Below are 15,879 nucleotides of genomic sequence, written 5' to 3'. Positions count from 1 at the left end.
TCTTTCTAATTTTCTGTTTTTACTAGGGTTATCTGAACACTTAATCTGCACATGCCTCATTTTCTGGATAATTGGATGATTTTTTTTTTTTTTTTTTTGGTAGCACCTGGGTCTCTGTTCTATCCTCATTGTCTGACCTTCAGTATTAGGTTAAGTGTGCCTGCTCAGCTTCATTCTTTGGTGTTTGGTTGTGGTAACAAACAATACCGGAGTCAAACAGAGCACTCCCCTGAGTTCCTTGCAATTTGAGCCACCAAGTAGCCATCCTTCTGATATTCCAGAACCAAAAATATTATGGACTAGTGCCTCAAGGCTGATTGACCTTCTATGCGTTCTTTCCTACAATAATGATTGTTTTTCAGGCTCCCATTGAATAAATACTACTGTAATTATTGCATAAAAAGATATTTTTCATTGCAGCTTAAATACATTGTTTGAAAAGTACTCTAAGATTTGGAGTGTTTGTATATGAATATTTTACTCCATTCCTTAAAACTAATTCTGAAATTGCAGTAGGGTTGTGTTAGCTGCATCCAAAATATTCTGAAAAGTTCTAGGCATTCTATGAAAGTTATCTAAAAAAGACACTTCCTTTTAAAATTTATTTTCATTTTAAAATATGAGTGGGGCTGCTTGTAAGACAGTCCTATTTAGTTACACAAAAGACAGAATTTCTTAAGTGGTGCACTGCTGTGTGACCTATTACATTATCATGCACATTCTGTCTCTTTAAAAACACAGTCTCCTCTATTTGCCCTATTAATTGTTGATATGTTGCCATCCACGAGACAAAAATTAGAGCTGTAATTAAATAATCATGTGATGCTCCTTAGTGCCAATGAGAGCAAACTCATTTTTCCAGGCCCTGATGGTCACTGATTATTGTATTACTACTGGCTTGCTTTATTTTTTTTTAATGATTCTCTATCTGTAGATTACCTAACTACTGTCCTTCTTTTCAAAATTAAAGAAAGTAGAAAACATTCAGCCAGTTAATTGGCTAGAGGTCCTCAGGGACATAAGGTAGACATACCTTTTTTGCTTTTGGTCACCTGGTGGGTTCTTTGGGGAGGCTACATCAGTGGTGTGGTTGCCTGCCATTTAATTTACACTGGTGTTTTGGCTGGGATGGAGGCATATGGGGAATGCCAGGAGAATTACAAAAGGAGCCGGGTATTAAAATTCAGAAATGATTAAAATTGAAATAAAAGGATGCTGCTTCTTTGCCAGTACTCTGGCAGTCATAATGACACATAGAGATTAGTTTCCACCTTCATCTTTTCCTTCTTTCTCATTTCCTCTTGTTTATTGTTGACACATTTTCCTTATGTCTGTCTCCTGTCTCTGTATCTTTTTGCACCATTATGCATTCCTACTTCTCCCTCTTTCTTTAAGCATGGAGAAGCCTACTTAACCTTATTATAACAATAACAGAATAGGTTATTAATATTTAATATGCACATGATTAAAATTTCTCTCCCTTAAACATAGGTCAGCTGTATTATTACTAACCGGCATGTAATTTTTCATTTAAAATATTGGTATTCTGCCCCATGCCGTTTCTGAAATGCAGTCTACTTTAGTAGTGATTTAATACACAACGTTTAGAAAATTGTGGTCGGCTAGTGAGAAAAGAATTTACCAGTCATGGATAATCAATTATGCATGAATTCAGATGTAACAGATGGAATCTGGTGAGTTAAAGTTTCTCTTTGCCTTAGCGGTTATTTTTTTTTTTTATTTGTTTGTTTGACACCTGTCTCTTATATAGAGATAAACATCTAACGTAGCATGTGAGAAATTTCCTTATATTTATATTTTCTCTTTCAAGTGAACTTAATTTTTTTAATTGAAGAAAGAGATTTTTTATGTGATCTTAAAGATGATCAGACTCTATCCATTCATTTTATAGATACGGAACCTGATCCTGCTTAACTAATGAAGGATCACTCAGCTAGTGAGTAGAGTAAGAAGCAAGACCCAAATCTAGTTTCTCTATCTTTTCTCCACTACTTTTCCCACTATGTGACTTATGTTCCTTTTTGTGGGAGTTACTTAATAGTAGGGGTATTATACTACCTCTGAGTTTTAAAGGCTTTCTGATGAAAACTGTGGTAGACTAGTTTTAAATTGTGGAATACTCTCTTGTATAACATGCAAATATTATCTGTGTACATATAAAAATGTTATGCTATGTGTATATTTTATATATATATATATACTTATTCTTACTTGGATGTTGGCCAAACAATTGGATTTTTCAAATCTATTGAGAATGCCACAAGATTTGGTTTTACATCCTAAACTGCGGCATATGCCAGCCTTGAAGATACATTTACACTTGGTTGCAGTGTTGTAAATTTTTAGTGACAAAACCCCTTTGCACAAAGCGAAATAAAAAGTTATTTTTGAGAGCCTTGTTACCTCAAAGAAGAGATGAGAGGTTAATTTTTATTAAATATAATGTGAATATGTAGTGTTTCTTCAACTGTAAAAGTAATAGAAGAATAGTGGATATTGACCTTTAAAGCAGTCTAGCCTTAAAACAGAAAGCTGGTTTCCATCAAAATTTTTCATAAATGTGCTATTTGTTTCTCTCTCAAGTGTATTTATGTATTAAATAACACAAATGAAAAGTCTTTGCAAAATAAATAAAAATAAATGATTAAAAAACAGCCTCAAGGCTCTCTAGTTCTTTTTTAAAGTTCTACTGTGGCATTATTTATCAACTTTTTCCTTCATGTTGGCTCAAAATGTCCATGTATAGTCCATGCTAGTTATCTAATAAATTTTTAAATGAACACATTAATAAAGAAAAAGGCACCTACAAGATAGGTAACTGGATATGCCTTAAGCATAGCTATACTGTGAAGCTGTCTTTTAGTATTTTATTTAATGCTTTTACACATAATAAATATATGTTTGTAAGTTGGTTTCACTTTATTAGCATTCCTTAATTATGCGTATAAGAAAAAAATACAGATACGAACTTCAATAAAATGATTTATACATGAATTTCCAAATCATTAAAAACTCCATCATTAATACAAGTTTTTAATATAAAATCCATAGGAATAGATGATATGAAAACTGAATGTGGAACAGTACAGGAAAAGATGATATTTCAAATTATTATATGTAGATATACTTTCATCCTTATTACTAGCACTAAAAAAGTAACTGAGCTGATTAAATTTGAAAGCGTTTTTTTAAACAAAATTTTCTTTTATTAAAAAAATAGAATCTAAAGTCTTTTTATGTAGACAATTTGCAAATTAGTACTTTATACAGTTGTTACAATTGCAGCTGTTCTGCATATATGAGCGTGACACTCAAAGTACTGTGTAACAGAGAAAATCTATTTCATGCATATAGTTAATTTTTACTGTTTTGAAAAACATTCCAAAAGAATTTTTTGGACTTAAGGAACTCCTGTTTGTTTTTGTCTATGCGCCTTTCTCTTTTTTTGGCTAAGATATTGTATTGAATAAAACCTTAAAAGAGAACCATTTTCTTACATTGAAGGAACCTCAAAGTGAGTGGGATCTTGGTCTCTAATTACCAATCCATGTTAATTATCCTTGGGTCAGGTATTCATCATATTAATTGTGTAGCATAGACTGGACTGTAGCTGTTAGCAGGTAAGGACAAAGCAATGTAAGATTGGGGTGGGGATGGGATTGTTCAATGTGATGTAGCTCATTGTTTCTCTGAGGCTTGGCATGATATTTTCCTGGTATTATATATCTGCCAATACTAGGCATACATGAAAGATTGTTTTGCTTTTGTTTTTTTTTTTTTGAAAATGTTTATATGGTAAAATATGTGTTAAAAAATACGCCATTTTGACTGTTTCTAGGTGTACAATTCAGTGACATTAATTACATACACACTGTTGTGCAACCATCACCACAGTTTGTTTCCAACTCTTTTTCTATCAGCCCAAATACAATGTGCTTTAGTTTTGAATTTAATTTCTCCTTCACTTCAACAAATTTCAAGTGTTACAGTAGTATTTAATTATTGTCCAGGTGTGAAGCATTTGTTTCTGATGGTGGCTTTCCTTCCAACGGACAATGCCTCGTCCAGTGCCTTATGGTGGTGGGCATAGCAGTACAATATCAGATATTGCCTTTGGCTGATGTTGCCACAAAAATGACCTGGACAAGGATTCAGGACCATTGTTATCGCGAATTCTTTCTCCCTCCAATTAAGCTAGGAAAGATTAGAAATAACATTCATATCAACTAAGGAAATTTGGTTGATATGTACATCTTGGTTAAAAGTTGATTGGGAACAGTTGCTGTTCGATTTCACCGGAATTAAAAATTGGAGGATTTTACCTCGAGCTTTCTGAGAATATTAAAGGCACAGCAACTAGGTCTAGGATGCTTTGCAGTTGGCTCCTTGACATGGACAGTCTAAATACTTTGGTTCTGTTCAAGTGCAGTGACAGTCTGGAAATAAGTTGAACAGTTTTCAGCCCTTCAAAGAGAAGCCCACTCAAGGTTGAACAGTTGTCTGAGAGAAAAATCATGTTATATTGAAAAAAGAATTAGAGGAAACTTGGATGGTTCTGGCTCCAGTAAATAATAGACTGGTTTGAGAACTGTACTTCCATGTATAATTTTGTGGTTAGTCACTTAATGTCTATCATGATAAATAACATACCTGCACAGGATTTCTGGCACCCCAGTAAATCTCAAACAAGTGCCCAAATGCTAGTTTATTATGGTTCCTCAAATAGCATGTATTTATTTGCCAAATCAATGATCCAGTAGCTTCCTGCCCCCACTTTTATTGCCTTTTTAGAAATTTGAAACAAGTAGCTTGCCCACATATACATTTCTCAAATTTTGGTCTACTGCTGGTTCATACAACAGGTTAGCTTTTCCAAGTGACTCCAGGAGTGAGTTAAAAACCACCTCAGAGATGTCCTGAGTATTTGATTCTCTGTCTCTAAAACATCACCTAACCTGGTAGATGCCAAACCTGGCTGTATATGAGAATCACCTTGAGAGCTTTAAAAAACTGAATGTCTTCTCCTCATCCTCAGCCATTCTGATTTAATTGCAGTGGGGTTCAGCCTGGACATCTGGATTGTGATCTCAGTACCTGGTTTTACGTCCTAAGACTGTCAAAGGGAATGCAGAAATATATACATGAGTAAACCTTCAAGATGCTTAGAGTCTTGCAGTTTGGAGAGGCAGACATATAGATAGATATGAAATGTCACATTGCATTCAGGCAGTGTGATGGAGCATGGAGAAGGAAATAACTAACAACTGGAGAAGGCTTCGGACTGACAAGGGGAAATCAAGCTGCACGTTAAAGAAGATAGCAGAAAGGAGGTCCTCAAGTGAGAAGGGACATGAAGGGCACTCCACGAGCTACAGGAAAAAAATGAGGCATCTTTGTGGACTCTAGGGCAATTTCAAGAATCCTTCCTTCTTCTTACTCGATTTTGGATCTGGGTCCAGATAAAGGTACCAATTTTGGTGGAATTATTACCACCGTGCCCTGTCAAATAAGTGATCCATACTGACATCCATGGAAGGAAAGGTAGCTAAAAGATTTTTTTCCAATGAAGTTCCCAATGAAACAGTATTGTTTCTGAGTAAAAGGCCCAGATATCCTGTCGGTTTCCAGAAGCCAGCTGCAATGGCTGCTCGTTTTCCCTCTCCAGATCTCCCAAAACAAACATAAACATTGGGTTTTTTCCCCCTCAACTATAATGACCTTTGTCTATTAAAACTGTATCATGAATTACCACTCTGTATTTACATCTATGCCAAGTAATTAGGGAAATAACTTTTGATCGCTATCATTCTAGCTAAAACTGAAACTCAACTTCTTAGGGGAAGAAAACAAAACCAAAAAATCCTTAAACCCTATATTTAGAGTTCATTATCATCACTCCTTTAACTCGCCTGCAACATTTTGAAGCTTTTTGCCATTATTCTCTGCAGTGCATCATTATTTGTTATCTGGATGCCCTCCCAGTTCGAGTAGGTATCTACATTAATGCTTCCAGAGAGGCATTTCTAAGGGTAGCTATGCTTATATAATATAGGTACAGGGGTAAGGGTGGGAATGACTGTGATTTTTAACTTCACCTATGAGATACTTAAATGTTCACGGAAAGCAGCTTTTGGAGTAAACACATTACTTAAAATGTATTACAGAACCCTTTCAAGTACAGACATGTCTAGAAAGTTCTTAAATTTGTATTTAGCAGTATACAGGTATCATTTCCTGCAACTTTACAGATCTACAGGCTAATTCTAAAATGGAAAATTATCTTGACTCAGATGTCATTGGAATGTCTGAAAGCCATTTAGCACCTCTAAGACTCCTCCTGGCCAGGTCTTGGATTCCCTTAGTTGTCTTTTAAAGGAGTTCTCTAGGGTAAGCACTGTCCAATGGAACTTTCTGCAGTGAGGAAGTGTTCTGTAATCTACACTGTCCGCTATTAGAGTATTAGTCACATGGGGCTATTGAGCACCTGAAATGTGAATGAGGAATTAAATCATAAATTTCATTTAAATTAATTCAAATTTAAATGATATAGCCACCTTCTTCAATGTTCCCTCTTCCTACAATCACTTTAAAAAACTGTCAATGCAATTTGTAGTGGAAATTGGTTGCAAGTGACACTGTGAGCTTTTGTTCCCATTTATTCATTTATAATATAAATATTACAAGGACACTGTATAAATTCCTAGTAATATGGCAGTGAGCAAGACACCCAGTCTCTGCTCTCATAGGGCTTACAGTCTAGTAAGGGAGACATGTATTAAGCCAGTAATTACCCAAATTGTTAATTAATTAAGACTGTGATGACTGTTTCAAAGGAGAAATACAAGATTCTGTGAGGGTATATAATGGGGGCCAGAACTTCTTGCATAATTAGTCAGAGAGTTTAATCAGAGTTCTAATTATTAACTAGACAAGAAAAGCATGAGGCAGCTTCCTTTCCCCAAGTTCAAGGCTGGGTCAGGTTGGCTGCAGGAGGCACAGCTCTCAGAGTAGGGCAGCTAGCATGTGCCATGCCATGACCTCCAAAGAAGTGGGATCTGTTTAAGACGTAGGATCTTAATCTGATTAAGCTCTGTGCATACAAATACTGCAAACTTCTGAACTTGAACAAGTAGATTGTTTCCCAAACTGTATGCAGTTGTAATGATGTCGGTCACAGATAATATGTGAGAAGAAGCGTGCAATGTTTACAGGATATTGCATTTCTTCTCCAATATATATTTTGACAAAGTTGTTTGGGCTGCAGCCCCAGCTTCTTCCTCCCTGCTCTTTCAAATTGGTATTTGGTCCATTCAGGAAACGATGCAGAAATCGGTCCTGACATCCCAGACAGACAAAATGAGACACATGACAGCAAAACATATGGCTCAGACACACATCCTTATATGGCCAACAGAGAACCATATTCCCAGAAATTCATATATGGAAAACACCACCTGCAGCTAAAGCCAAAAAACAAAGAGTTGACACGACAAAAAGAGCAATATGCTACATAAATTGTGCTGCTTTAAGAGTGTAGAGATAGCCAACTGTATTTGAATTTAAAAAGATGAAAAAAGAAAAAAAAACATGTCCTTAGAAAGTGTTATGGTGGTAAGCATTGCTTTGCTAACACAGTCACTGGCGGAGTTGCTATATCTTAAAAGCACTCGAATTCTAAATGCTTTCTCTGTTTATTACAAATGTATGTGCTATTCAGAACTCTGAATGTGTTTTAATGCGTTCGGATATCTGCCTGCATATTTATCTTAATACATTGCCATCTGAAACATGCAGTAGTCCTTTCATTAAGTTTTTAAAAATTTTGTGTGTAGCCAGGATAATGCCTTCTCATGTGATAGAAAATTGATGCACTCTGTTTTAAATGTGCATCCACATGTTAAATAGTTCATGTATTTGAATTGCAATATTTTATGTTCCTGAGGTTTTCTATTTTGATGGCCAGACTTATAAAGTTTAACTTTCTTCAATACTTGCATGCATCATTATTGCTTAATATAAGATCCCTGTATTGAAGTTTTTTCCTCCTGCCGTGATAGTTTATGTTCACATATGCCTAGGAAGGTGGTATTTTCTTAATTATTGCTATTATTTGAATACTTGTCCTCTCCAAAACTCATGTTGAAATTTAATCCCCAATGTGGCAATACTGAGAGGTGGGGCCTTTAAGAGGTGTTTGGATCATGTGGGCTTTGCTCTTGTGAATGGATTAATCCATTCGTGGATTAATGGGTTAATGGATTAATGGGTTATCATGGGAGTGGGACTGTTGGCTTTGTAAGAAAAGGAAGAGAGCCCTGAGCTAGCATACTCAAGCCCCTTGCCATGTAATATCCAGTGCCACCACAGGACTCTGCAGAGAACTCCCACTAGGAAGAAGGCCCTCACCAGATGAGGCCCCTCCACCTGGAATTTCTCAGCCTCCACAGTGTAAGAAATAAATTCCTTTTCTTTATAAATTACCCAATTTCAGGTATTCTGTTATAAGGAACAGAAAACAGACTAAGACAAATTTCTTTCTTTTTTTGTTATTTATTTTTATCTGGCTTTACACTGGCCAATACTCAGTGGCTTATAATGAAATATTCTAAAGGGTAGTTAATATATAGTAATTAATTTCATCAGTGATGTATACCACTAGTACATTAACCTCTATGTGCCATTTTACTTATGTCATTTCTTATAGTTCTGGAATAAAAAATGTGCTTGAGGGAAAGTTTATTGTGCTATATTGTTATTCATTATAATATAGTCATTCTTAGATGCCTTTATGCTCATTTATTCTGTTTATCATTTTCCAAGGCCATGTCAGTCCTTATTACATACTTTCATGTTTTGTGTTTTTGAATAGATTTGTGACTCAGATAAAAGGTGCTATTCAAATTTAAGGATTGCTGTATTAATTCCCATATTATATTAGCATTCACCAGGTCATTAGGAGGGTAAAACATTCAGATGGCATTTTGTCTTATTTATTTCTGTAAAATGATGTAATAAGCATGTTTACAATATTTTATTTCAGTCTATCTTAATATTGATATTTCCCGTGATCTTTGTTTAGTGGTGTTTTCTCTTAGTTTAAATTTTATTTTGCCCAACAGCTTTCTTTTCTTTTATAAAAAACATTCAGCTTGAGGTGACATTGCCTGGCTAAATTACATTTGTGTGTGTGTGGACCACTATAATTTTTCTTTATTTTTAAATGTTGCTATTGTTTGTAAATTTGTACAACAAGGCACTAGAGTGCACAGTCCCTACTGAAAACAAGGCAGGTTTCAGGGAAACATGTCAGGCATTACTAGTTTGAAGCAACTATTAAAGTATCCATATTGGAAATTTCAAATTTAACCTACCATATTTCTATTTCTTATACTTTAGCTAACATATCTTCCTTCAGATTTCCCCACATTTTAACTTTTAAAAATTTACTATCATTTGGGCTTTTTACTAAAAATTTGCCTTAAATTTCTTTTCCTATTTTTGATGCTGTGTTTTCTGTTTATCACATGTTCATTCTTTTGCTCAAGGCTTGGGTTTGTGTGCCAAGATTCACGGTTGCCTTCCCAGATTTGGCTAACCTTTCTGGTTTGTGGGTGAAACGTGGGTGCTATTAGAGTGATATATTTTCATTTTGTTTCTCCTAAACTTACTCTCCCCTAGGAGGCCATCATTTCCTACACTTTTCTGCTTTACCTTTTGGCTTTTCTTTAGATTTGTAATGTAAACAGTGTGCCTAAGAGTGTATTGGTGGCTTTACAGAGCTTAATTTGCAAATTTCCCTTTTATCTCAGTACTTGTGCTAACTTGTTGCTTTTTTATGTGTAACAAAATGTTTATCTGACTGATTTTTCTCTTTTCCCTACCAGCAAATTCTGAAAAATAATTCTTGTTTTTTGTTAATGATTAACTGCCTTCAGGGTGCTAAAATGGTAGAACTAAAACCTAAGCGATAAATGAGGCATTTCTATTTTGGGTTACATTGTAATATTCTTTATTTTTACATGAACTATATTTAATAGATTGTCTAAATAATAGGATCATACTTATGTGGTAATGACCATTTATCTAACTGGGTAACCTACCCTAGATTACAGCAGAAGTGTTTATTGCTACAACAGATGTATTTACCAACCCAAACTTTCCTCTTTTGCCTAGCGTAAATTATTTGAAGAATGATGGCATCTTTTCCTTTATAATAACAAGTCAGGTCTCTTTCAAGTGACCCAAATTTTGTTTAACTCGGCCACGTATTTCTTCTTCCAAAGTATTCTATGGCTCAGAAGTGAGGGCGATTTGAACCAACGTCTGACTAGTACAGAACGCTCTTACTCAGTTCTTTCTAATGTTGGCTCCTCATAGTTTAAGGACCACCCTCCTTAGAGGATAAACATTCCGAGCGTTTCGAGGCTCCTGGCCTTTATTGCTGTACACGTTTCTGCACCCTCCGCGCTTCCCCGGAGAGAACTGCCTTCCGTCTGTACCCCTCCAGCCACTTCCTGATGGCTCCCTACCTCATTCCTCAGCGCCTGTCACCTGCGTACCCGCGCCCTTCTCCCACGGGGCCGGTGCGTCTCCCTGTCCCCCCACCTCGCCTGTCCCTCTGCGACGCTCCAGGCGTACTCCTTTTTGTGGCTTTTGTGGCGTGTGGGTGGTTGGTTAGTTTTCTCCCCTGGCCCTCGCCCCCTCCTCCCCGTCATTTTCCTTCCCCCCGCCCCCCGTGCCCGTCCTGCCCGTCCTGCCCCTCCTCCCTCCCACTCACACACCTGCCCCTGCCGCCCGCGCGCCGCGCGCTCCCCTCCCCGCTCCGGCGGACGCTGCCAGGGAAGCCCCCTCTCCTCCTCCCCTCTGCGCCCTCCCTGGCGCGTCTGGCGGCGGCCGGCGCTAGCCCTCGCACAGCGCCCTGTTATTCTGGGTATTGTGTGTAATAAATGTCGGGCCGCCTCACTCTAATCAAGCTCATTACAAATTCTTGCGCGCCCGGGGCCGGAAATCGTGCGCTCCCCCCATTCCCTCACTCATTCACTAGTTACTTGTCTTTCGGCTTTTTAACTCGCCGCCCCCGCCCCCTCCCCCAATCCCGGCCCTCCAGCCCGGGTTTTAATCCCCATCCCTTTTCCGCCCGCTCCGTGCACCCTGCCCCCCCACGCCGCCTTCCTCCTCGGCTCCGCACCCCCTTCCTCCTCTCCTCCCCCCTCCTCCTCCTCCGCCGCCGCCGCCGCCGCCGCCACTTTCTCGCTCGCTCCCGTTCCCCGGACGCGGCGGATGAGCCGGCCCCGCTGGGGAAGGCTCCGGGCGGCGGCGGGCGGCCGGGAGGAGGCTGCGTGCTCGGGGCTGGGGCTGCGAGCGGGGTGATTTTGTATTAAAATGAGGAGGAGGAAGAAGAGGCACCCACAGCGGCAGCGGCGGCGGCGGCGGCAGCAGCAGCAGGAGCAGCGGCGGAGAGGGCTGCAGCCCGGGCGGACGCGCGGAGCCGAGCGGGGCACGGCGGCGGCAGCGACAGCGGCCGGGATGAGTCAACTAATAATTTAATGGGGGCAGAGACGGCAGCGAGGGGTAGAGCTAGCGAGGGAGAGAGCGAGAGAAGCAGCCCCGTCCGGGGACTCGCGCTCACACTCACGCACACACACAAACACACACACACCTCTCCCTGTGCCACCCAGCAACACCCGGCCTCGTCACAACAACAACAGCCGCGGCCGCCCTCTATCCTGCCCGGGGGCCCAGCCGAAAGCCAGGGCGACTCTAGAGGACGCTGCCCGCCCCCCTCTTTCATTTCGGGAAACTCCTGATCAGTTTTGTCGGGGTTTCTGGGTTTCTTTTCCCCCAAAGTCCTAGTGCCATTGTGGTGCTCGTTGTTTACCTCGGACTCTGGACGAGTGAGAGCTTGGCGACTTTTTGGGGGGAGGGGGCGGGGAGTTTGTCGCTGCCTAGGCGGTGGAGGTGGCTGGGGGTGCCTTCTGATCTTCCTCCTCCTCCCCCTCCCCCCGAACCTCTTCTCTCCTCACTTGCTGGGACCCCAGACGCTCACAGCCCCGCGTCAATGGGCAGGGAGAGGGTCCTTGCGGCTGTTGTCAGCGAGGGCAGAATCAAAAGTGGCATTTTAGTGCCTTTCCGGGGCTTTTCTCGCGACCCCCTGCCCCCCACCCTCGCTGTCCCCCGCTAGATGCCCTCGTTGGGGGTGCGAGGCTGTGGGGAAAAGTTTAAGGTTTGTTAATATTAGTCGCGATTGTTGGCGAGGGGGGTGGGGGTGATTGGAAGGGAGGCGAGGTGGCCTTCCCAATGCGCGTTATTCGGGGTTATTGAAGAATAATATTGCAAGTGACAGCCAGAAGTAGACTTTCTGTCCTCACACCGAAGAACCCGAGTGAGCAGGAGGGAGGGAGAGACGCGAAGAGACCTTTTTTCCTTTTTGGAGACCTTGTCCGCAGTGATTTTTTTTTTTTTAAGAGAATCCTCAGTCACCACGTCGTTTCCCCAGCACCATCACAGTGTACAGCTCATAACGGGTTTTGCTTTGTTTTTACGATTTCCCCCCAACGAATCACTTGTCAGATCAATTTTATCTTCTTCCTCCTCCCTGCTTCCCACTCTCCCCTCCTCCCCATCGCAAACCCTGTTCTCTGAGGTTAGACATTTTACAAACCCCTATATGTTGGTTTTCGAATTGTGATTTTTTTTTTAAACCCCTTTCTCATGGCTACTCTTCTAGACGTTTATTTCTGCCCTTCCCCCGCTTAGGGGGGCGGGGGTAGGGGAAAGGAAAATAATACAATTTCAGGGGAAGTCGCCTTCAGGTCTGCTGCTTTTTTATTTTTTTTTTTTTAATTAAAAAAAAAAAGGACATAGAAAACATCAGTCTTGAACTTCTCTTCAAGAACCCGGGCTGCAAAGGAAATCTCCTTTGTTTTTGTTATTTATGTGCTGTCAAGTTTTGAAGTGGTGAGTTTCAGGTCGGTTTTGCTAATTTCACTCAGTAAAACTGCAGTGTTTCTGTTTCTAGATAGTACTTTGCTTCTTTGTCTCTTTAAAAGGTCACAGTGAAAGCTTGGCCTGGATCGTGCCGGCCATATGGAATGGATAAGGGCACAATCTTAAAATGTGATTATGGGGTTGTGTGGGGGCGAAGGAGGCGATCCAGCTAGAAACTCATTGAAAAGGATCTCGCTTTGCAAAAAATCGGTTCCTAAAAAACTAGAATTTCGAGATTTTCTTTCCTTTTAAAGGAAATAATTGTTGTTACTGAGTTCACTGTTTTATTCAGTAATTATCATATATGGTCTTAGTTTATGGGCAGATAAATGGGATTTTCAGAAAGTAGCTTGCTTTCTGTGTGGCAACCAGACATTGCACTAAAATGGGTTGTAACGTGTAACTCAAAAGAAACTCTTCAGCCTGGCATCTGTTGAGACCATAGTTAGTTCCTGCTGCTGTCATCCAAGCAGGCCTGTTGGAGGTTGCTCTTTTCAATCCCAAACTGAGGTTTGGTGAACTTTAGCCCGGGCATAGAGTTAAAATGAGTAAATTGGGTGTTTTATGCGCATTTAATTTTGGTTTGTAATGTAAAGCTTTTTACACCACGACTTAGTGTTTAATAGATGCTTATAGGTGGGTATTCAAAGGACAGTTTTTCATGACCTATATGATACTTTAGATTGTCAATACATTAAATTATAATGTATCACTTTCATTTGCTGTACAGTTTCTAGTGTTGTTAAGCCTCATGATTACTTAATATGTTTTATAGCATTAACTTTGATGCTGTTGTCTACACCCCCTCCCTTTTTTTCCTCTTAAATTGCCCCAAGGGCTAAAGATTTTTCTTTTCAAATCATATGTTTTAAAATTCATCTTCTGCTCTAGGATGAGGCAACCAATTTCAGAAAAAGCTCTGTGTTATCCACATGAAACGTTATAAAGAGTGTTTTGAATAAGTTAATAATCATCTCTTTCTAATTTTGGCTTTAGACTGCAGTTTAATATAATGGAAAAGAGTAATCTTGCTAAAAAGTGGTTTAAAAAGGCACATTTATTGTTAATGAACCTCATAACCAAAAACAGATGGGACCTCTATCAACGGTAAACCTTTAGTTCTCAGTGTGCCACTCTGGAGTACAAAGATAAATAGCCATTAATTTTTCTCAAACTTTATAGTTCTTCAATTGGCATTCTTAAGGTTGCTTTTAAACTTCCAGATTAACATTGCTGCCCCCCTTTTCTTGATTATATGGTAAGAAGTAGGCTATGGTTAAACAGAAGAAAAAATATTTACAGAAAAGCCATGCTAATACAAACTGGCTTTCAACAAATCCAGATTTAAATAGCTCCAGTGTAAGAATTTACAACAAAAACAAGCTATATCAAATTACTAGACAGCTAGGAAAAATGGTAATTATTCTCTCTGGTTTTCCTAAATATGATCCCCTTAGTTTCATAAGCTCAATACTTCAAATACCATCAAAGTTCATAAAATAATTCTACTTACCTGTTCTTATCAATTCTAATTAAAACTATACTTTAAAAATGACTTTGATATTGTCTAATCACTTTACTATAAATGATGGGAAAATTGATGTCTAATATATAACTGAAAATAATTATCTGTTAATTTTTTTGAAGTTAATTACAATGTTAATGCCATTGCATGCTGAGGTTATTTCTGAATACTGGATATTTTGTTTTACCAGTATCATCAAGGTTTTTTGTTTGTGTTTTTTTTTTTTTTAATTGAGCTTGGCACTTCAACCTAATGTGCATATCACGAAGTGTATTCAATTTTTTAAAAATATTTATTGTTAACAGCCCTCTATTACTAATGGACACCTAAATACTGACTCTAAAACACATGAGTTTTAATGCATCAGTACGTTGGATATTTGAAAACCCTTCACTTCTTCCTGTTTCTTTAGGGGTAAACTGATCCAATCACATCTTTGGCCCAAAACTTGACTAGGTCTGTCACATAACTCTTGGAACTTTGATAGTAGAAAACTTTTTCTATGCATTAATTTACAAAAGCCAATGGGGAGTTTAAAAAGCAGTTAGATGTTTGTTACCTTCTTTTGAGATGGTTTATGTTTTTTTCATAAGAATTAATATACATACACATATAAAATGTATACATATAAAACATATACATTAGATTTCTAATATTTTGAACTATGATCATCTTTCCATCCTTTATTAAAGTGTTTCTGCTGTATTTTGTAATGTGTTTCTAATTGTTAAAAATTGGGACTACGTAAATGCAATTTGCTGTTTTCTTTTTAGCTATACTTGTAATAATTCTTGTTCTAAAAGTAAGCCCATTTTTCCCCACTTAGTTTTTTTATAGGCCAGTTATCTTTTTATTCATGTGTATTGGTACAGTTTCCACAGATCATTTTGTTAATTTGAATAAGAATGTAATGCTATCATCTAGAAATATAGTAACATCTGTATCATATCTAGATAGGCCATTTTACAAATACATTATATTTGTGGAGAGATATCTAGAGCTAAAACATTTACATAGGACACATATATACACGTAGGTCCCCGCCCAACTATAACGTGTCTTCTTTTTAAATTCTGGCAGGTGATCTTTAGACAGTGACTGAGTATGGATCATTTGAACGAGGCAACTCAGGGGAAAGAACATTCAGAAATGTCTAACAATGTGAGTGATCCGAAGGGTCCACCAGCCAAGATTGCCCGCCTGGAGCAGAACGGGAGCCCGCTAGGAAGAGGAAGGCTTGGGAGTACAGGTGCAAAAATGCAGGGAGTGCCTTTAAAACACTCGGGCCATCTGATGAAAACCAACCTTAGGAAAGGTAAATACCTTCAAGCCAAATCTTGAAAAGC

General features: G+C 38.9%; 1 protein-coding gene across 13 annotated transcripts in view; it reads left to right on the top strand.

Moving 5' to 3' along the window:
- Nucleotides 1–15,879, top strand: part of SATB1 (SATB homeobox 1) — a 100,216-nt gene that overhangs the window by 8,988 nt on the left and 75,349 nt on the right. For 9 of the 13 annotated variants that reach the window (NM_001322874.2, XM_011533989.3, NM_001322872.2 and 6 more), the window contains one exon: nt 15,614–15,848. The exons of 1 other annotated variant lie outside the window; for it this stretch is intronic. In NM_001322874.2, the coding sequence (NP_001309803.1) occupies nt 15,638–15,848 (211 nt within the window). In that variant the 5' untranslated portion in view covers nt 15,614–15,637. Of the gene's footprint in view, nt 1–11,265; nt 12,979–15,613; nt 15,849–15,879 lie in introns of those variants that run through there. 3 more of the 13 variants (NM_002971.6, NM_001195470.3, XM_011533990.4) reach the window with 1 other exon arrangement.

This window comes from Homo sapiens, chromosome 3, assembly GCF_000001405.40.
Source record: "Homo sapiens chromosome 3, GRCh38.p14 Primary Assembly".
In the NCBI taxonomy this organism is placed as follows: domain Eukaryota; kingdom Metazoa; phylum Chordata; class Mammalia; order Primates; family Hominidae; genus Homo; species Homo sapiens.
Note: the sequence above shows the minus strand (reverse complement) of the source record. Positions and strands in the feature narration are given on the sequence as shown.